Here is a 22,334-nt window from a genome sequence, read left to right on the forward strand (position 1 = left end):
GCGTGATTTCGGCTCACTGCAACTTCCACCTCCCAGGTTCAAGTGATTCTCCTGCCTCAGCCTCCCCAGCAGCTGAGATTACAGGTGCACGCCACCACACCTGGCCAATTTTTGTGTTTTTTTTTTTTTAGTAGAGACAGGGTTTCGTCATGTTGGCCAGGCTGGTGTCGAACTCCTGACCTCAGGTGATCCACCTGCCTTGGCCTCCCAAAGTGCTGAGATTACAGGTGTGAGCCACCGCGCCCAGCCTGAGGAGTGAATTATTTCTGGTCCCTCCTTAGACGATGTGTATTACCCTTTGTGGGTCACAGCCTTGTGCACAGGATCTGTTATTAGACTTCCCACTTTGGATGAGCTTGAGCTCTGTCTCCTGTCCCCTATATCCTGCTTGCCTGTGAAAACCAAAGTCCGAGCTCACCCGTATGCAAAGGCTCTGAACAGAAAAGCCAGCTTTGGTGATTAGCTTTCCTCTTTGATTCTTAGTCTTTTACTTGAGTATTCACTTTCTTGCTAGTTTACTGAGCATTTTACGTTGTTTTCAGCCGAAGATTTGCTCAAGGAACCTGGTTTACCATTCCAAAGGAAATCCAAATTTCCCCCTCCCATCATAGCCAAGTTATTTTAAATAATAGATGATACTCAGTGTTTCTAAGCCTTCACCCCCACTTGTAGCCTCCTGAAGTTAGGCCTTCACCCCATCCTCCACTGAGCCTGCTCAGGTAAACGTCACCAATCAGAAGTTACCAAAGCCCTAAGAGACTCTTGTTCCTCATCTTACTTGACCTCTTGTCAACATTACAAACTATGGGCCTCTTGAAAGCCTCTCTTGCCGTGGTTTCTATTATTCTATTTTTCCCAGGTTCTCTTCCTACTTCTATCACTGTTCCTTCTGTCTTCTTTTTTGCTGGTATTGCTGTATTTCCAGAATTCTCTTGCTCCCTTGAGCTGTTTGAACAACAATGATATGCTGCTAACTTCCAAATCTACATCTCTGTGGCTCCAGGTACCTTCAAACTCAGTATGCCTGACAAGGAACTCAGTTTTTACATTTTTAAAATTTTTTTATTTTTTGGAGACGGAGTCTCTGTCGCCTAGGCTGGAGTGCAGTGGCACAATCTTGGCTCACTGCAACCTCTGCCTCCTGGGTTCAAGTGATTCTCCTGCCTCAGCCTACCAAGTAGCTGGGATTATAGGTGCCCACCACCATGCCCAGCTAATTTTTGTATTTTTAGGGGTTTTGCCATGTTGGCCAGCTGGTCTTGAACTCCTGACCTCAGGTGATCCACCTGCGTTGGCCTCGCAAAGTGCTGGGATTACAGGCGTGAGCCACTGCGCCCAGCCAAGGAACTAATTTTCTTTTTCCCAAACCTGCCCATTCTAGTCTGCTGAATGAAACTACCAGGCAGCTAGTCACCTAAGATTATCCTAGAGTCATATGGGGCCATCCCCTTTCCTCATTTCCCGTATCCAATCAATCTTGTCATTTCTACGTCTTTGAACTCTTGAATCTGTTTCTCTTTTCCACCTTCACATTGCTGCTGCCTGGGGTCAGGTCCACCTCCTATCTTGCCTGGGCTTTGCCTTCTCTTTGGTTTCCTTACAACCAGTCTTGTCTTCCTCCAACCAGCCTCTGTACAAAGTTCAAATTCACTTGGTTCAGCAAAGTGATCTTCCTAACACAATATGATCAGTTTACAAATATGATCAGTTTAGCCTTTCCTAAAATACAAACATGATCAATTTACACTTAGAACCCTTCCAAGTGTACTGAAGAGGGTCTCTTATTAGACTCCCACTCCAGTGTGCTCCATTTCCAAGTAGACTTCCACGTCTGCCTAGCTCACCAACATTACGTTTCCACTGTCCATCATCTTCAGCCTGCATCTTCTGGGTGTACCGCTAGGCTGCTCACGGTTCTCCTAAATGCCAGGCAGAACAGTCTCCTGCCATCTCCTGCCCTCCTGACACAGGCCTATCTGGGGGGACTCTCTGATCTTCCAAGAATCAGCGTAGCCTGTCTCTTCGTGAAAACTTTCTCAACTCCTCAGCCTGTCCCCTCACAGCTGAATCATTCATGTCCCCTGAGTGGCCCTCATTGGCTCTTTACAGGCTTGTGTCCTCGCAGAGATAACCCGTTGTTGCTCTTTTTCTCATGCTTTTCTGTATTAGATTTTAAGTTCCATGAAGGCGAGGACTATGACTTATCCATGTCTATATGTTGTGCCTGGTGTACTGTAGGTGCTTAGTGCTTGTGGAATGGATGAGTGAAGATGAACTATTGCCTTCTTGGGATGAATGACCCTGCTGCTCACCAAGGCAAATGATCCCCTAGGTAGTGGTGTCTCTGTGCGTTGCGACCAATGTGGCAATTGTCACACTGAGTTGTCACTCTAGTCAGTGGGACTAAGGAGTAAGACTTTTTCCTGGAGAAGTGGCTCCTGCTAGCTCTGGGGACTCTCCTGACAAAGAGACAGGGCAGAGGGGAAAAGAAGTTCATAGACTGTGATGTGGGTCCAGCCCTAAGATTAAGACGGTTTACAAGGCCAGGCACGGTGGCTCACGCCTGTAATCCCAACACTTTGGGAGGCCGAGGCAGGCAGATTACGAGATCAGGAGTTCGAGACCAGCCTGACCAATGTGGTGAAACCCTGTCTCTACTAAAAATACAAAAATTAGCCAGGCATGGTGGCGCATGCCTGTAGTCCCAGCTACTTGGGAGGCTGAGGCAGAAGAATCGCTTGAACCCAGGAGGCGGAGGTTGCAGTGAGCCGAGATCATGCCACTGTACTCCAGCCTGGGAGACAGAGCGAGACACCGTCTCAAAAAAGAAAAAAAAAGAAAAAGAAAAAGAAAAAAAAGAAGGCTTACGAAAATGGACACTTACCGGGGCCTTCAGGGATGGTGAGGAGAACTAGCAGGAAGCATCCTTGGGCCAGGCTGTGGGAAGGAGCGAAGGGCACAGGTAGGGATTAGGCAGTCTCTATGTAGCGCGGGACCTAAAAGGAAGGTAGACACATCACCTAGGAAAGCTCTAGTTTGGAGATGCCCCAAACTCTCACAAATGGGGTGTGAGGCATATGATTAACCCCTCCCCTGCTCCACCTCATTTTCCACCTTCAGCTGGGTCCTGAAGACCAGTACCTAGAAAAGCAGGAGATGCTATGGTGTTGAAGAAAGCACAGGACCAGTAGGCTGTGGCTTTAATGATGGATTGTATGTGAGCCTTGGCAAATCGCTTACCTTCTCTAAGTCTCAGTCACTTCATCGGGGCACACTCTGACATGCCTCAACCACTTCCTAGGATTGTAGTGAAGGTCAACTCATAATGATGATAATAGCTATTCTTTTTAGATCACTTCCTATGTGTCAGAGATTATGCTAAATGCTTTACCATATTTTATCAATACTAACAATATCTGTATGACATAGAACTATTATTAGCTCCATTTTACAAGATGAGTAAATTGAGGTTTAGGGAGGTAAAGTATCTTGCCCAAAGTTCAATGCTGTCAAGTGAGCTGATGGAGCTGACGGAGGTGGCATTTGGTCTGTGGAGCCAGCATTCTGGTTCCCTGATCTGTATATTTAGCTGTGTGGCTGACTTTACTGTCTAGGAGTGAAGCAACCACAGGTCCCCTCTGGGACCCCTGGCCTCGAAGCCACAGTGGCAGCACTTAGCAAGAAATAAGGAAAGATACCTCCCTCCCCCCTGGCTTCAGATATGTGCTCCTGAGGGGTTGGCTTTCCCTTCTTAACTGCAGGGGTTGGTGACTGTACTGGGTTGAATAGTGTCCACCCAAAATTCGTGTCTACCAGGAACCTGCGAATGTAATCTTACTTGGAACGAGGATCTTAGCAGCAGATGTAACCAATTAAGATCATTTGCACTCATACTGGATTAGGGTGGGCCCTAATCCAATGACTGGTATCCTTATAAGAAGAGAGGAATGTGGACAGAGATGTAGATGCAGAGGGAAGATAACCATGTGAAGACATGGGGTTATGCTTCCGCAAACCAAACAACACCAAGGATCCTGGGAACCACCAGAAGCTAGAAGAGGCAAGGAAGGATTCTTCCCTAGAGCCTTCAGAGAGCACATGGCCCTGCCAACACCATGGTTTCAGATTTCTAGCCTCCAGAACAGTGAGAGAATACATTTGTATTTTAAGCTACCCAGTTTGGTAGTAGGAAACTAACACAGTAACCTAGCACTGTGTGCACCACAGCTTGGTGGATAGAGCATGGATTGGAAACCACTTAGACGGACTGGGTGGGGTGTGCCTATTTGGGGGAGATGAGGGAGAGGAGAATAAGTTATTTACTCATCCAGCTACACTGACCAACTTGTAGACAATGCCTCCCCATGACTTTATGTGATTGTGTGTACACTGTGTCTGGCGAGTGTGTCTTCAGCTTTATTTTTTCCGGATATGACGATGGGAGTTCTTCAGGTTGGTGAAACTTAGAAGGTGAGAATTCCATTTAAGCAACTGTTCTCCCTATCTCTTGGCCATCCTTTCCACCCCTAGATCTCAGATGGTGAAGCTGTGCTTAGAGAGGTTCAAACCTTGCCCAAGTTTTCACAGCTAGTTAGTAGGAAGCAGAATTCAGATCCAGAATTCTCTGGCTGCAAAAATTCTGCCCTTTCCTTTATATCAAGTTCTTTCTCAAGCTAAAGAAACTGACCTCTTTTCAGAAAGATACGGAGTGATTTGTTTACTTTCTTAAGCATTTCTTCTAGATTTGAAAGTAACATTTATTTGAAAAATATTTAGAAATTATTGAAATGTTAAAAGTAAAAAAATTATGGCAATAACTACTGTTACTATTGGGTAAATATCCTTCCAGTCTTTTTTTCCTATAAACACATATTATCAGTACAATTTGAATAATACTGTAAACAGTGTTGCATTTTGCTTTTTTAATTTAACATTATCTTGTAAGCATTTTCTCATGTCAATAGTTTTTGTAAACAGGATTTTAAATTACTAAATAATGTTCCATCATATGGATGGGCCATAATTTAACATTTTCTATTATTGTCTACTTAGTTTCTACCTTTTTTACAATGATAAATATACAGTTAACATTTTTCATAAACATCTGTCCTCTTATTATTTCTTGAGGACAGGGGACAATACTGGGTAAATGGATATGAAGATTTTAAGGCATTTGATGCATAATGCCAATTGTTTACCAAAAGGGTTCTACCTACCAGCCCAATCAGAGTGCCTCACACGGCACCCTCACCCATACTGTCATCAATAAAGAGCTTTGCTATGTTCTGAAAAGGCGCGTGCCGCGATTCCATCACACAGGCTGCCGCGTCCAGAGGATGGCAGGGGGCGAGGCGAGGCAGGGAAACCAGTTAGGAGACCGCGGCGATGATCCCAGGGGACGCGCTGGGGGCTTGAGGCTAGGCGCAGGGATGGAGGAACTGGAACACGCACGGGATTCGTAGAATATTCGACGGGGGCGGGGGATCGACTCTGATAAGATAATTCTGCACTGCGTGGGGTGCAGGAGAGGGAGGAGACTGCACGTTCGGCTCCGGCCTCCTCCGCGCCGGGCTCGGCACCGATCCGCGAAGTTGGCCGAGGCGTGAGCCCCGCCCACCCCTTTAACAGGGACACTCCCCTTTAAGGCGGGCGCCCGCGCGCGCCCCGGCCCCGCCCTTCGGGGGCGCGCGCGGCGGCCGCGGCGCCGGCTCCGCCGGGAGCGCACGTGCAGGCGCCGGGCGGAGGAGAGGGAGGCGGGAGCCGGGCCGCGGGAGGAGGGGAGGCGCCGGGGGCGCGCGCGCGCGCGCTGGGCGCTGCTGGGCTGCGGCGGCGGCGGCGGCGGCGGTGGTTACTATGGCGGAGTCGGCCGGAGCCTCCTCCTTCTTCCCCCTTGTTGTCCTCCTGCTCGCCGGCAGCGGCGGGTCCGGGCCCCGGGGGGTCCAGGGTGAGTCCTGGGACGGGGGGCGGGGGCCGGGATGGAGAGGGCCCGGCAAGGGCGAGGCCTCGAGCCGCGGCCGCTGGACTACAGCGCGCCCCCTCCCCACGAGCACAATATGGCCGGGTGGGGGGCGCAGAGGAGTCGGGGTGACCCCCAGTCAGCTTCCCCGATCTCCGAGGCGCAGCCGCCCGGCGGCGACGGAGCTCACGCCGGGCCCCTGGGGACCCGAGCCCTGTTCCAGGCGGAACTGGATTCGGGCAGTTCTCAGGGGTCGCGCTCCCAGCGCCCTCGTGTTCCAGAGAGGGGAGTCTGAGCCTCCAGCTCCAAGATTTGGAGGTCCGTGGTTTCTGCCCTTCACCGTGTCCAGGGGCGGGGGGCTTTCTTCCCTCCCTCCAGGTGCTCCTGGGGGGCGTCTTTCTCCCGCCAAGACTGTGGGGTTCGGGCGGTGGGGTCTTAGCCTCTCCGAGGGAACCTGATGTTGAGAGTCCGCGCACCTCAGACTGTAGGGGAAGGGGTCTCTAACCTTTCCTTCAGGTCCTGCACTTGGCGTGTTTCTTCCCCTCCCTCCACTGCCTCCCTAATGTTCTGGGAAAGGGAGTCACATTTCCCCTTCACTCAATCCCTTGAGTTCAGTGGGGCAATCCCCCCTCCGCCCTCCGGCACTCATGCCCCGTGGAGGCTATTTGGAGGAAGTGGGACGAACAGGCCCCTAAACCTTTTTGGAGCCTGGCTTTGGAATCCCTAACCCTATGGAACCGAGTTCCCCAAGGGTTGATGTGAATCTAGGTGTATTTGCTTTCCTCCTCGCCTCCCCCACCCTACCCCGGGGGGCCCATTCAGTTAATCACTTTGTGGATGCCTTTCAGGTGAAATCCTGGAACCTGTCTCCAAACCCCCAAGATTATTTAAAGATCCCACCACTGGACTGTATTCCCGGCCCTTGGTCAGTACTTATTTACCTTCCTACACGATGCCTCTTCCCAGCCCGCCCACCCTCACACACCCCTTACCTCCCAATCCCCACAGTCTGCGGCTCGCCTTATACCACCCCCCCACTCTCCTCTCTGTAGAAGCGGGTACCTTTTTGCGGGACACTTCGCTGGCTGTGTTGTTTTTGAGGCTTTGGGGGCTGAGAAGAGCAGATGAAACCCTAAAATATTTCATTTAAGAGAGTCTTGGCGAATGTGTTTTGGCCTTGGGGTAGCAGATGAAGGTTATATTTGGCAGTTATATTGAAGCGATTATTGACCCACAGATGGATCTGGGAGAGATGATCAGGATTGTATTCGCTCCTGACGTACAAAGCCTGATGCTTTGACTTCTCAGCAGCCCCTAACCTTCCAGCAATGGGAGATAAAGTGTGTTCTGTGGCTCTCTTCTCTTACACTAAAAATAATGATTCTCAGGTGGGTTCAGTCGTCTTTAATAAACCAGACAGTCAAGAAAAGACACCATGCCACTTTGGAATCTCAAAAACAAGTTCATTATCTCCGGCTTTGATATTTGTTCCCAGTGGTGGAGCCTGTGCAGCGGGGTCTTTGTTCACGGGCTAATGCTTCTCCTAAGCACCTCGTGTGTGTTCTTCGGCCTCACTGCTCTGTGGCTTAGGTATCTGTGCTGTGGGGTTTGAGAAACATGGTGAAGGTGTATGAACAGAGCTTGACATTTGTGGTGAGATAATGATTTGCATGAATAAGGATGTTCGTCGGGCCTTATTAAGGGCCATGTTTTTGGAATGTGTAACATAATGTTCTCTACTGGGTAGTAAAAAAAAAAAAAAAGGGAGATTGAACCTCTAGGTTTGTCATTTTATGTGTGTATGTATAAATCTTTAAATCCTCATATAGGAATTTTTATCCTGCCCCTAATATATCCAGGATTTTTAACAGTCATTTCCCTGCTGATTTGATGTAGTGTTTGTGGGGTTTTTCTGGTTGTGAGCCTAGTTAAGAATGTTTGATAATCCAAGTGGTTCTGAATGGGGCAGAGTTCATTTTTTTGTAACCTTCCTAAAATGGATGTTTGTGGGGGTTAAGGTGGGTGAGTAAAATAGGGAGTTCGTTTCTTTTTTTGGTAAATTGGAAATTAGGTTGTGTGTCCAGCAAACATTCTCCAGGGCCTTTAAACTTCTTGGCCAGACACTACAGTTTTTTCCAGGACACGTCTAGTTGCCAATAGTGTATGCTATGGAGACCACTGCTGCAAAGGGCTTAAAGTAAAACGTCAGTTCTGGGAAAATAGAGGCTGTGGGATAACAAGAAGTTGATTTTTTTCCCCTCCCCTGCATTTCCTATATAGTGCTCCCCTACGTGGGCTGGAGGAGTGACAGAGCCAGACAGCTCTGATGCCTGATACTTGGACTTGATGTGAGGGGCAGTAAGGGATAGGTGTTTCTATTAATTAATGAATTAACTAGGACTTAGTAAAAGGCCAGTGATAAGGAGAATGAGTTTCAGTTAGAAATAGCATCCGTTTGATAGGTGTACATGTTTTAAGGCCTGGCTTTGGAATTTTCACATTTAAAAATGTAAAATTGAGTTAGTAGCAGGAGAACATGACATTCATTTCTCAAGACAAAAGCAACAAGAGAGATATTTGACATTCTCATAGGAACATTTTGAAATTTTGTGAGCGGACTAAAAATCTAATTTCAAGCCAAGCCTTGTAATTTTGTTGAGTGGACATGGATTTTAAGTACAGTGGAAGTGCAGTCTTGTAGAGACCTCTGATTAGTTTTGTTTAAACAGCTCCTGGAACAGATGTGATAAAACATATTAAAATGGCTACTCTGGTTAAAGGTTAAAGCCAGATGGAGGGAGGAGGCTGGTTTTCAGCCCTAGAACTTAGCTGCCTTACAAGTTGTCCTTGAACAAGTAACTTAACCTTTCTGTGACTGCCTCAGTTTTCCCTCTGTAAAAATAAGGAAATATTTTGTGTCACTCTTATTGGGACATTTGTGAGACTGACTTACTGATAGCCAGTTGGCGGGGAGGTATTTTTAGACACAGTTTCTGACTTCAGTGAATAAGCAATGCTGGGTTACTTTTTTATCTTAAGGAGCAGAAAAACATACTCTGTGATTGATAGACGTACAGCATGTCACAGTGTGGTTTTCTTTTTGTGCTTTTTTGTAGACCCCTTTCAGATTTCCTCAAGTTAATTTCTGTCTCTGGCAGGCTCTTACATCGTCGACTAGGCAGCATACCTGTGCTAATCAAAGACAGTCTGGAGGGAGTGACCTGCTTTAGGCTTTATTGGTTTGGCAACGTTTTAATTCTTACGCAACTCTGGGTATGTTTATGGCACTATGTAAATGTTACATAAGAACATGGAGGCTGAGAAGTGGCCAGAATGGTGACTGTGAACACAGGAAGGTTAGACTGAGGACTTTATCCAAAAGGACCTTGGGAATCTGCAATCAGTACAGGAAGAACCTGCACTTATTTTCCTCTAAGAACCTTTTTAGATGATTATGTCTTTCAGGTGGACTGCTGTGTTATAAATAGGTTTATTCTCCACCGGTGAGCTAATTGTAACCTTGCTACCAAAATATGAATCAGTAAACGATGAGACGTGCTGCTTCTTCCAGCATGTCCTGTTGAAGCTGCTTGTTGCATTTTGGAACATGAGTTGAATTGGGTTGCAGTCTGTTCTCATAATAGCTGAGGAGCACAGGGTGTTGAGGTGGAATGGAATTATCAGTTCGTGGTGCTTTAGGTCATCTTAATTTTTGAAGGTTAAATTAGAATACTGAAGTGGCTCTTTATAATTTTGAAATCTCTATTGTTTACTGTTCAATTTTTGCTCAGAGTAGCAGTGAACATTAATTCTGGGATCTCGCCTGTTTGTCTTCAGTTCTTGTGTTAGCTGTTGTTGTAGGAGTTGGTGTAAGAGGGTCTTAATCTCATTTTCCTCTCTGTATTCATAAAAAGGGAATCCTAGAGTCCTTTCTCACCAGTGCTTCTGATGCTGGACATAACTGCAGGCAGCCACAGCCCATCAGTTCCACTTGGACTGGGAATGCGGGAACCTTTTAAGTCCAACTTACATTTCTCTCACTCTGCAGGCACTGCCTCATGGCCAGGTTCAGATACCTGCTCTGAGTTTCTGTTCTCAGTTTTTCACTCTCATGCAGGTTTAACTTGAGCTTTGGCTTCAGAGGCACCATTTCTGTCCATGTCTGCTCTCTCTCCTCTGTTATGGAGAAATGGTGTGCTAAGCAAAAATATGATTTCAGAGAGTATCTTTCTTTCCTTTACTCTGTAGAGTTGCCATACTTTGGTTTAGCTGTGAAGTTTCCATCCCAGGCAATCTTTATCTGCTCTCTAGGGTTCAGAGACAGTGCCACTTTAGGCAACTCTGGGCTTTTTGGTTTTCTTTAGTGTCCACCCAGTCTTAAGCCTGCATTTGTCTCCCTAAATATTTTGAATTTAGCATAATGAAAGTAACTGCCTTTCCCTTTAAACCATAACATCACACCTAATATTTACACAGTTAACATATAGGAGATTTCTTTATTCATTGGATTGGGTATGTGCCTGGAACAGTTTTTGGCATGGGGAAATAACAGAGAACAAGATGAACAAAAGTCCCTAAATCTCTATTATGGAACTTATAATTGCAATGGCTTAGACTGAAAATAAATAAGTAAACACAATTATCAGTCCATGAGTGCTGTGAAGAAAATAAAACAGGATGCTGTGCCATAGTGTGCCTGGAGCTGCCACTTCACCTCTCTATCAGCTTCATTGTTTTATCTGTAAAATGGGGCTAATACAGTCTTGTTATTTGTGGTAGTTCCATAAAGTTGAATTGTAGAACTGAATTACCAAATCTTCAACCATTGCTCCTAGGGGAAATACAGGGCTAGGTTCCTGCGAGCCTCTGGTCACTTTTTCAACCTGTCAATACATAACCTTATTTTATGTGTTTCTTTTTTTTTCTTTTTTTGAGACAGGGTCTTGCTCTGTTGCCCAGGTTAGAGTCCAGTGACATGATCTCACTCACTGCAGTTTCTGCCTCCCAGGCTCAAGCAATCCTCCCACCTCAGCCTCCTGAGTAGCTGAGACCTCAGGTGTACACCACCACACCTGGCTAATTTTTGTATTTATTTACTTTTTGGTAGAGACAGGGTTTCGACATGTTGCCCAGGCTGGTCTTGAACTCCTGGGCTCAAGCAATCCACTCACCTGGGCTTCACCTGCTGAGATTACGGGTATGAGCCACTGAACCTGGCCTGTTTCATGTGTTTCTGTTTATTTTTATTTTTAATTTTTATTTTTTTGAGACAGTGTCCTGCTCTGTCACCCAGGCTGTATAGTACGAGAGTGTATCATAGGCCAGGCACAGTGGCTCACGCCTGTAATGCCAGCACTTTGGGAGGCCGAGGCAGGTGGATCATGAGGTCAGGAGTTCGAGACCAGCCTGACAAACATGCTGAAACCCCGTCTCTATTAAAAATACAAAAATTAGCCAGGTGTGGTGGTGTGCCTGTAATCCCAGCTACTCAGGAGGCTGAGGCAGGAGAATCACTTGAACCTGGGAGGCAGAGGTTGCAGTGAGCGGAGACTGCGCCACTGCACTCCAGCCTAGGCAACGGAGTGAGACTCCGTCAAAAAAAAAAAAAAAAAAAGCCAAAAACATCATAGCTCACTGCAGCCTGAAACTCCTGGGCTCAAGGAATCCTCCTTTGTCAGCCTCCCAAGTGGCTAGGATCACACGCACATGCCACCATACCCGGCTAATGTTTAAATTTTTTGTAGAGATGGGGTCTCACTTGTTGCCCAGGCTGGTCTCAAATTCCTGGGCTCAAATTATCCTCCTGCCTTGGCCTCCCAAAGGGCTGGGATTACAGGCCTGAGCTACCATGCCTGGCTTTGTTTCTGTTTAAAGACACCTTATTTAATATATATTGTTGGTTCATTAACATTGAACTTTACTGACAGCAGCACTATTAACTCATGCCTGAACTAAGCTTCTCTAACATGTATTTTCTCTGTGAGGCATATCACTATCTTCTTGCACTTAGGAACTCTAGACAGCACTTCAGCACTACTTGTGGGGGACCATTTTATACAGCAAAATCATCAATGAAAAGCATGACACTAAATATACTGCAGAAAGGATAACTTGTTTACAGTATGCCAGCTGAAACAAGAAGGCAGGGTGTTGCCTTGTTTGACCTCAGTTGGGAATGCATGTGGTGGGTGTTTCAGATGTTTCACTATTCTGTGCATGGCTGTCAGTGAGCAGGAAGGTACCATGAATGTTGATATTGGGGTTACAAATAAATTTGCATTAACCATATTTTGTTAGAACTGTATACAAAAGTGGTAGAAATAAAATTGTAGAATTTCACTAAACCAGAATTTTAATACATGTAGTTAGAAGTCCCATTTCCAGACTGCAAACTAAACATATGCATGTTGAGTACCTACCATGGTGATCTAGGGCAGTGGTCCCCAATCTTTTTGACATCAGGGACTGGTTTCGTGGAAGATAATTTTCCCACAGGGGAAGTAGGGGAGATATGATTTTGGGATGAAACTGTTCCACCTCAGATCATCAAGCACATCAGGCCGAGGTGGGTGGATCACCTGAGGTTGGGAGTTCAAGACCAGCCTGGCCAACATGGTGAAACCCCATCTCTACTGAAAATAAAAAATTAGCCGGGCATGGTAGTGGCAGCGCATGCCTGTAATCTCAGCTACTCAGGAGGCTGAGGCAGGAGAATAGCTTGAATCCGGGAGGCGGAGGTTGCAGTCAGCCGAGATCACGCCACTGCACTCCAGCCTGGGGAACAGAGTGAGACTCCTCAAAAAAAAAAAAAAAGAAAAGAAAGATCATCAGGCACATCAAGCATGTTAGATTCTCATAAGGTGCATGCAAGCTAGATGCCTCGCATGCGCGGTTCACCGTAGGTTTCCCACTCCTATGAGAATCTAATGCCGCCGCTGATGTGACAGGAGGCAGAGCTCAGGTACCCGCCTGCCACTTACCTCCTGCTGTGTGGCCTGGTTCCTAACAGGCCGTGGACCAGTACCGGTCTGTGGCCCCAGGGGTTGGGGACCCCTGATCCAAAGGGTCCCTTGACACATATTTATTGAGCACCTGTCATATACTAGGCATTGTTGCAGGTGTTAGGGATACAGTAGTAAACGAAAGGAGACAAAATTGCCTTCTCTCAGAAAGCTTACCTTCTGCCAGGTGAGGTGGACAATAAACAAAAGTATAAAATGTAAAGCAGTTGTGCCTACTACAGTCCACCTTCTGCTCCTCACTTCCCCAAGATTCCCCATGTTTGGTGTACACACACCTGCTTCAGGTATTCAGTCAAATGCTAGTCTTTGTAGATAGAATTAAGGTCTCAATCAGTTGACCTTTAGCCATCTAAAGGAGGTTATCATGGTGGGTCTGTCTTGATTGAACTAGCCCTTTCAAAGCAGAGAGATTTCTCAGCTGATTGCACAAGAGGAAATCAGATGTTCCAGCTGGCTTGGAAGCAAGCAGACGTCCATGTTGTGAACTGCCGATCCCAACAGCCACATGGCAAGGAACTGCAGGCAAACTCTAGGAGCTGAGAGTGGTTCCCAGCTGACAGCTAGGAGGAACATGGGGACCTCAGTCCTTCATCTGCAAGGCAGTGGATCTTGTCAACAACCAGTAAGCTTGGAGGAGGACCCAATCCTAGATGAGAAGGCAGCCCTAACTGGCACTGTCGGTGCTGTGCCTGGACTTCTGACCTGTAGGAACTGTGAAATAGTAACTAGGTGGTGGTTTAAAAAATGTATGCATTGGGTGGGGGTGAGTCAAATGGTGATGGTGAAAATAGGTAAAGCAAGAGAGGGGAATAATGAGAAATACCCCAAGATAGGCATGAGGGTACTTGAGACCTGGTGCCCAGCCATCCCATCACTCACATATAAAAATAAATCCTTTGACCACATGTGGCTTTCATCTGACTATAACTTTTTTCTAGATATTTGTGAGTGGAGGGGAGAGGGGATTGTGGATGCTTTGGAAATAAGTTTTTTAGGTGCTTGGGATGTTTGAGTTGAGGAATCTGGGAATTGAAGTATTTTCTGGGTTTTTTTTTTTTTTGTGGTAGAGGACTCACCTTGCCCCACATCCTTGTATATTGCTTTGGTATATGTTTGCATATTACCTTTTATACCTGTAGAAGATAAGATTGAATTGTAATCAGTCAGTGTTCATTTCTGATATCCAGGATGTGCCTAGCACCAAGCTGAATGCTGAGAGGGATCCTGAGGAAAGAGTCTGTCCTTGCCCTTTGGAAGTTTACACACAGAGACCGGCCACAGTGGCTCATGCCTGTAATCCCAACACTTTGGAGAATGAGGTACAGGGGATCGCTTCAGTCCAGGAGTTTGAGACTAGCCTGGGCAATATAGTGAGACCTCGTCTCTACAAAACATTTTTAAAAATTACAAGGGCTTGGTGGCGTGTGCCTGTGGTCCCAGCTACTTGGGAGGCTGAGGTGGGAGGATAGCTTGAGACCAGGAGATTGAGGCTACAGCAAACCATGATTGCACCACTGCACTCCACCCTGGGTGACAGAGTGAGATCCTGTCTCAAAAAAAAAAGTTTACACACAAATGGACTTTTTTTCTGCTTGTTGGAACTACCACAAACTATGAGGAGTTCAGGTGACAATTGTAATAAAAGCATCTGATTTGCTGAATGTTTACTATATACTAAAGTATTATGCTAAGCACCTGTGTTGTATCATTTACTCTATGTAGTTATTCTTTGAGGGGCTAGGGGCTCTTATTCCCATTTTACAGATGAGAAAACTAGGGCATAGAGAAGTTAAGCAGTGGGTCCAAAGTCTATCCAAGTCCAAAACATGTGCTCTAAATATTGTACTGTGCTATAAACTGTGAGTACTGTAAAAGTGACCTTCTAACCAGGCTCTCTGCCTTCAATCTCCCATTTGTTTTCCATCCTACGGCTAGATCTAACTTTGGAAATGCACCCTGTTTGTCTGACCTAGAGGTTGTGTGGCTTCTAGGATCAACTCTAGACCCCTTAGCTTAGCATTGCAATCAGTTTCATCTGGTCTTAGTCTCCCTGACTCTTCTTGCCTTTGGCTGGAACCTTGGCATTGTTCGAACTGTCAATTTACTCTGAACCCAGTGTAGCTAATATTTTTTCACAGCCCTTTGCTTTCCCTTTTCCTTTTCTCTGGAATGCTTCTCCCCACTTCTCTTCCTAGCCAAACCCAGCGTCCTCCAGTGTGGACCTTCGTCCTCTTGTGTTCTCCCGGTCAGTGATTCCATCCTCTCTGCTTTTCCCCTCAGCCTGTATTGGTAGTTGGAGTTGCACTGTTTATAGTTGTCTTCTCCCACTCTCCATGCCCAAAGAATTGGTGCGGGGAGCTGGCTTATTTGTTATATGGCTTCGGCCTGCACAGAGCCTTGCATGTTTCAAGTACTTAATAAGTTTGTTTAATTGAATTAATTCATTTCTTTTCCATCCTCTCAGTAAAATCCTAGGTAAATAATTCCAATTCTGTTTTGCTCTAATGTTATTATAATCTTGTATATATAGTATTTTAAACCTACTCAAAAAATGCCGCAAACATTTGTGAGTTACTTGGAACATCATAATCTCTCTTTCTACCTCACCTCTTTCATCTCTGTTTATCCTACCACCTACCCATTTTATTCCAGCCAAATGAACTTGATCTCTCAACCTCATTAGTTTTATTCTCAGTTTGGCTGATTTCTTTTTTCCTTTTCCATTGTCCCAGTTGCCTGAAACAATCATTCCTATCCCTCTTCTCACTCAAAACTGTGACATACACGGTCTCCTCTCCATTCGTCCATACTATAATAAATAGGTCAGGAAGAAAATACCAGGGATAAATATCCTTCCCTGCTCTATTGAGCCAGAAGTATGTTTATTCAGACTCAACAAAGAAAACAGTGGTTTTACATGTTCATCATAAACTGATATCAAAGGAGAAATGCAATTTCCTGATTGTCTAAATATGACAGCTGAGTCTGCACACATAGGTCCCAGGAACATTGGACACACTCCCTCATAATGAGGCCCACTCATTTCAGTCTTACCTTGACATTCTCTTGGGCAGCAGGTGGGCCCTTGCTAGATGTTCAGGTATTTACAGTCAGCCATAAATTAAGTTGCAATGACAGGTCTCCTTAGCATAAACATCAAACGTCTCTTCTGAGTGAGAACAAAGCTTTCATTCTCTAACTGAGACTTAAGGTTGAACTTGTTTAAACAGCTCTCTAGGGCTGGGTTTGTCTCCAAGTAGAATGTCAGAAAGGCAGTTTGTAGAATGGATATAGTGTGGAGCTGGCTTTCCAAACACCTTTCTCTTATGCAAACCCCATTCCAAGACCTTTTCCCAGATTGGAATTAAATACCAAGCTTATCAAGTGTCTTATTGTTAAATCTGTGTTTCTCCCCACCCCCCACCATACAAATAGCTTCCTTTATTAAGTCAGTTATATTTTTTTTCATAAGTACTTTTTACCAGTACATTTGTTGTTGTTGTTGTTGTTTTTCTGTATACCACCATTGGCACCTGTAAAATTTGACTTTATTATGGCTTGTGGGTACTTGAAAGCTTTTTGTTTTAATGTATTTTTAAAATCTAATTTTGATGATTGTAAAAGGTGAAAATGTAACTTGGGTCTTTTTTTCTTTTAACCAAATAGCATGTGATTGCTTTACTGCTGCAAGATTTTTCTATTTAGGCTAGTTAGAACTTTGCTAGTACAGTATCAGTTCCTAGTTATTGCCTTCCTGCCCCCCAAGAAAGCCACACATTGCCTCTATTTTGTGAACAGTTTAGTGCCAGACATTTTTTAACCTGATTCAGATTTTCATAAACATTTTGGCAGTTGTCTAGATCAGTAGCTATTAACAATTGTCTTTCTTTTTAAGACAGTGGAACTCTTAAAAATGAAAATGTAGAAATGTATATAAAGTGAGTAAAAGCTGAGCAACTCTGGCAGAGGCCCCTCTGCCCCTGAAATTATTAGGCTGAGATCTGTTGAGTGAGGTTTATTGAGCACAGTGCTATTTGCCAGGTGCTGTACTAGATACCAGTGAGAAACTGTTGAAAAGGACACTGGTTTCCTCTTTGTGAGTTCAGAGATTCCCGGACACGGTGGAGAGTCTAGAGATTCAGGAAGAAGATAGTTTGAAAAACACTGTAGTTTTTTTTTGTTTTTGTTATTGAGATCATATTGTATATGTTGTTTGGCAAATAGGGATTTATGGTAGTAATTTTAAATTGTAGCAAAATACGTATAACATAAAATGTACTATTTTAATTGTACAATTTAGTAGTGTTTAAGTACCTTCATAATGTGCAAACCATCACCACTATTTTTTAATTTTAATTTTATTTATTTATTTTTTATGTATTTATTTTTTTTTTGAGACAAAGTCTTGCTCCGTCACCCAGGCTGGAGTGCCATAGCATGATCTCGGCTCATTGCAACCTCTGCCTCCCAGGTTCAAGCGATTCTCCTGTCTCAACCTTCTGAGTAGCTGGGATTACAGGCATGCGCCACCGCGCCCAGTTAATGTTTTGTATTTTTAGTAGAGACGGGGTTTCACCGTGTTGGCCAGGCTGGTTTCGACTGTAAGTGATCCACCCACCTCGGCCTCCCAAAGTGCTGGGATTATAGGCATGAGCCACCACGCCTGGCCGACATTTCATATACATAGAATCTTAATGTGTGGCTTCTTTCATGTAATATAATGTTTTTGAGTTTCATCTATATTATAGCACGTATCAATAGTTTCTTTTCAGGGCTGAATAATATTCCATCATAAATATACCACATTTTGTTCATTCATCATTTGATGGACATTTGGGTGGTTTCCACCTTTTGGCTATTGTGAATAGTACTGTTGAGAATATTCATGTACAAGTCTGTGTTTAAACATTTGTTTCAGTTATTTTGTGTATATGCCTTGGAGTAGAACTGCTGGGTTATAGGGTAATTCTAGATTTAACTTATTAAGGAACCATCAAGCTTTTTTCCACAGCAGTTGTACCCTTTTATGTCCCAGCAATGCACCAAGGGTTCCAGTTTCTCTAAATCTTCACCAACACTTATTAAATTTCTTTTTCATATTGTTATGGCCTTCCTAGTGGATATAAAGTAGTATCTCATTATGGTTTTGATTTGCATTTGAATTTGCAATACATTAGAGATGATGTTGAACATCTTTTCATGTGTTTGCAGGCCATTTGTATATCTTCGGAGAAATGTCTGTTCAGGTCTTTTTCCAGTTTTGTTGGTTTTTTAAAAATTATGTTTTTTAGAGAAGGGTTCTTGCTCTGTCACCCAGGCTGGAGTGCAGTGGTGTATTCTTAGCTCATCGCAGCCTTGAACTCCTGGGCTTAAGAGATCTTCTTGCCTCAGACTCCTGAATAGTTGGGACCGCAGGCATGCACCACCTTGCGTGGCTCCTGTTCAGTTTTTAATTGGGTTGTTGTTGAGTTTGAAAAGTTTTTTATATATTCTGGATTCTAGACCATTTTCAGATGTATGATTTGCGTATATTTTCTCCTGTTCATTGTCTTTTCATTCTTTTGATATTGCCCTTTGATACACAAAGGTTTTTAATTTTGATGAAGTCCAGTTTATCCATTTTACTTTTGTTGCTTGTGCTTTGGTGTCATATCTGACAGACCATTGCCAAATCCAAGTTCATGAAGTTTTACCCCTCTTCTGAGAGTTTTAGAAGTTTAAGTTTTAGTTGATATATTTAGGTCTTTGATCTATTTTGAGTTAATTTTTGCACATGGTGTTAGGTAAGGGTCTGACTTCATTCTTTCGCATGTGGTTATCCATTTGTTCATCACCATATTTTGAAGAGACTTTTCCTCCCCCCTGTATGTTCTAAGCACTCTTGTTGAAAATCAGTTAATCATAGATGTATGGGTTTATTTCTGGATTCTCAATTCGGTTCTGTTGGTTTGTATGTCTATACTTAGCACCATTCTGTTTGATAACTGTAGCTTTGTTGTAAGCTTAAATCAAGAAGTATGAGTCCTCCAACTTTATTTTTTTTTTCTCCCAAGATTGTTTGGACTATTCAGGGTCACTTGCAATTCCATATGAATTTTGGGATCGGCTTTTTCATTTCTGGAAAAAAACAAAAAAAAGGCCACTGAGATTCTGATAGGGATTGTATTGACTCTCATCTGATGTATATAATTTACATATATGATCATATGTTTACTCTATGTGTAATTTATGTTGGTGGACAAGTTCGGTTCTCAGTTTTTCAGTATCAATTTGCAAAAAGAATTCCTTTTGAAAAATAGTATGCCTAAGAAACCCTGGAGGAATATACATCAAACATGTAGTAGTAATTATCTCTGGGGCAGGAATTAGAGGGGCTCTCAACCTCTACATTATATATTTCTGTGGTGATTGAAGTTCTTTTTAAACGAGGAAACATGGATTAATTTGGTAAGCAGGGGAAAAAAAGCTAGTAAAGATAAAGTATATTTAAAAAAACCCTGATATATGATACTCATAATAGCACAACTAACATTTATAGTTTTGGACCCCCCCACCAAGTAGAATTCCTCAAAATGAAATATTAGAATTGAAATGCTTAGTAGCAAGTAAGAACTTTGATGTATTTGATTCAATGTCAGCAGCTGGGTGGGAGGACAACCAGTAGGTTGGAGATATTAGAGTACAGACCTGTGGGGAGGATGCGGCTGCATCAAAGCACAATGGGAGGTAGAAGCTTTACTAGATAAAGACAGTACCATGTGAGATCGTTCAGCGAGGTCCTTTCCTTATATGGATGGTATAGTTGGGCTAGGATAGGTATGATGCAGACCATCTGACTGGGATAATGAGCTTGGAGAAGCCACAGAATTAGGCCGGACGTCAGTGATTAGAGACTGATTATCCAAACACGAACAAGAGAGGAATGTAGCAGTTTTGGTTAAGAACCCATCCTTAGGATACGCAGTCTTAGAACTACTTAAGGAAATACACTGAATTTGATCTTGCATGTTGGATGAAATCGATTACAGACTAAATTTCAAGTAGTCTGGAAGAGGGAATACTTAGTCTTTTCTAGACTAAAGATGTGTGTGTGCCAGAATCTGTGTAGCTAATGGTGTTGGGTTGAGGAGGGGAGTGTGGAGATAGAGGGAATACCTACACAGGACCTGGAAAAGTAGAAGAGGAAAATACTACTAAAAAAAAAAGAAAGAAAGAAAAAAGAATTAACATCACAAAAAGAGACAACTGGAAGTTCTGTGCCTTGTGAGGGATGGTAGGGATGGTATTCATCACTTGTTAGTATTCTAGCCAGAAATTTGAGCCTGAATCACATCAAACCTCTAACTCTAGCTAATAGCTTATAGAAAATACAGAGGAGAGAGGAACATGTTAAATGACACCTTGGAGAGTCAACCCAAAAAATCCAGAATGTGGGAAGCTGCAGGACAAATGGCCTAGATTCTTCAACAGATAACTTGCAAGGAAAAATAACAGTGCAAGCGGGAACCTATAGATTGAAAAAGGTTTTAGGAGATCTCTTAGCTGAGTGCAATGGAAGAACCTCATTTAGATCTGGATTTTCATTTTATTTTATTTTTGAGGCAGAGTCTAGCTCTGTCACCCAGGCTGGAGTGCAGTGATGGAGTCACAGCTCACTTCAGCTTCAGTCTCCTGGGCTCAAGCAATCCTTCCACCTCAGCCTCCTGAAGAGCTGGGACGACAGGCATGTGCCACCACACCTAGCTGATATGTTTACTTTTTGTAGAGACAGGGTCTCACTGTGTTGCCCAGGCTGATCTCAAACTCCTGAGCTCAAGAGATCCTCCCACCTCAGCCTCCCAAAGTGCTGGGATTACAGGTGTGAGCCACCGTGCCCTTCTTGGATCTGGGTTTGAGCCAGTTGTTAATTTTTTCAAGGTAATAAAGGATTTTTGAACACTGACTGGATATTTGATTATATTAAGGCTATTATTGTCAGTTATTTTAGGTATGATAATGATATTGTGGGAAACTGCAATTTAAAATATAACTTGCGGAAGATTGCAATATCAATGACAAAAAATTAAAGGCACTTAAAAACATTAAAGGTAGGCCGGGCGCAGTGGCTCATGCCTGTAATCCCAGCACTTTGGGAGGCCGAGACGGGTGGATCACAAGGTCAGGAGATCGAGACCATCCTGGCTAACATGGTGAAACCCCGTCTCTACTACAAATACAAAAAATTAGCCGGACGTGGTGGCAGGCGCCTGTAGTCCCAGCTACTCGGAAGGCTGAGGCAGGAGAATGGCATGAACCCAGGAGGCAGAGTTTGCAGTGAGCAGAGATTGTGCCACTGCACTCCAGCCTGGGCGACAGCGCGAGACTCCGTCTCAAAAAAAAACCAAACAAACAAACAAATAAAAACATTAAAGGTGGTGCGGTGGCTCACACCTGTAATCCCAGCACTTTGGGAGGCCGAGGCTGGTGGGTCACCTGAGGTCAGGAGTTCGAGACCAGCCTGGCCAACGTGGTGAAACCCCGTCTCTACTAAAAATACAAAAATTAGTTGGGTGTGGTGGCGGGCGCCTGTAATCCCAGCTGCTCAGGAGGCTGAGGCAGGAGAATCGCTTGAACCCAGGAGGCAATGGTTGCAGTGAGCCGAAATCGTGCCATTGTACTCCAGCCTGGGTGACAAGAGCAAGACTCCGTCTTAAAAACAAAAACAAACAAACAAAAATATTAAAGGTTGGGGGAAACCTGCTAGAGAATCGGTGGCTGGTACTAGTGGGAATGTCTGGCATTTAATTGTACACTTAGCTGTATAGGCACTTGGCTAAGAGCTTTATATACTGATTATCTTATTCTTCAGAGCCACCCTATGAAGTTGATTCTCTTAGTTTTCTGCATTTTCTAATTGGGCAGCCCGAGTCCTGTGAGCCCAAGAAACTTGCCTAGTGTTGCTAAGCTAACAAGTGATGGAACCAGGATTTAAGCTTAGGCTGTCTGACCTCAGAGCCCAGGCTGTTAATCACTATGTAATTATATCTCCCTAAAGGTGCTCTCAGTGATAGAGGAGGTAGCAGAGAAACTAAAAGAATTATTTCTGGCTGGGCGCGGTGGCTCATGCCTGTAAGCCCAGCACTTTGGGAGGCTGAGGCGGGTGGATCACCTGAGGTCAGGAGTTCGAGACCAGCCTGGCCAACATGGCGAAACCCGGTCTCTACTGAAAATACAAAAAACTAGCCAGACGTGGTAGCAGGTGCCTGTAATCCCAGCAACTTGGGAGGCTGAGGCAGAATTGCTTGAACCTAGGAGGCAAAGGTTGCAGTGAGCTGAGATTGCACCATGGCATTCCAGCCTGGGCAACAAGAGCAAAA

General features: G+C 44.4%; 1 protein-coding gene across 22 annotated transcripts in view, besides 3 other annotated features; it reads left to right on the top strand.

Annotated features, from left to right (window-relative positions):
* Positions 5,587 to 6,206: an enhancer, noted in NCBI's record as "H3K27ac hESC enhancer chr12:52345261-52345880 (GRCh37/hg19 assembly coordinates)". NCBI's record gives its function as "activates a minimal SCP1, AML or CMV promoter by ChIP-STARR-seq in naive H9 embryonic stem cells {active_cell/tissue: H9 hESC(naive)}" and the evidence as "EXISTENCE:reporter gene assay evidence [ECO:0000049][PMID:30033119]".
* Positions 5,664 to 5,723: a silencer, noted in NCBI's record as "silent region_4475". NCBI's record gives its function as "represses an Ori minimal core promoter by ATAC-STARR-seq in GM12878 lymphoblastoid cells {active_cell/tissue: GM12878}" and the evidence as "EXISTENCE:reporter gene assay evidence [ECO:0000049][PMID:35858748]".
* Positions 5,754 to 5,803: a silencer, noted in NCBI's record as "silent region_4476". NCBI's record gives its function as "represses an Ori minimal core promoter by ATAC-STARR-seq in GM12878 lymphoblastoid cells {active_cell/tissue: GM12878}" and the evidence as "EXISTENCE:reporter gene assay evidence [ECO:0000049][PMID:35858748]".
* ACVR1B (activin A receptor type 1B) overlaps positions 5,809 to 22,334 on the top strand; it is a 45,380-nt gene continuing 28,854 nt past the window's right edge. For 15 of the 22 annotated variants that reach the window (NR_182042.1, NR_182041.1, NR_182043.1 and 12 more), the window contains exon 1: positions 5,809 to 5,944. Coding sequence is in view for 11 of the 22 variants with exons in the window: in NM_020328.4 (NP_064733.3) it covers positions 5,854 to 5,944 (91 nt within the window). In the remaining 11 variants the exon portion in view is untranslated. Of the gene's footprint in view, positions 5,945 to 6,804; positions 6,882 to 7,493; positions 7,610 to 13,369; positions 13,601 to 14,165; positions 14,298 to 22,334 lie in introns of those variants that run through there. The other 7 variants (XM_047429858.1, NM_001412779.1, NM_001412778.1 and 4 more) reach the window with 6 other exon arrangements.

The sequence above is a fragment of the Homo sapiens genome, chromosome 12 (genome assembly GCF_000001405.40).
Source record: "Homo sapiens chromosome 12, GRCh38.p14 Primary Assembly".
In the NCBI taxonomy this organism is placed as follows: domain Eukaryota; kingdom Metazoa; phylum Chordata; class Mammalia; order Primates; family Hominidae; genus Homo; species Homo sapiens.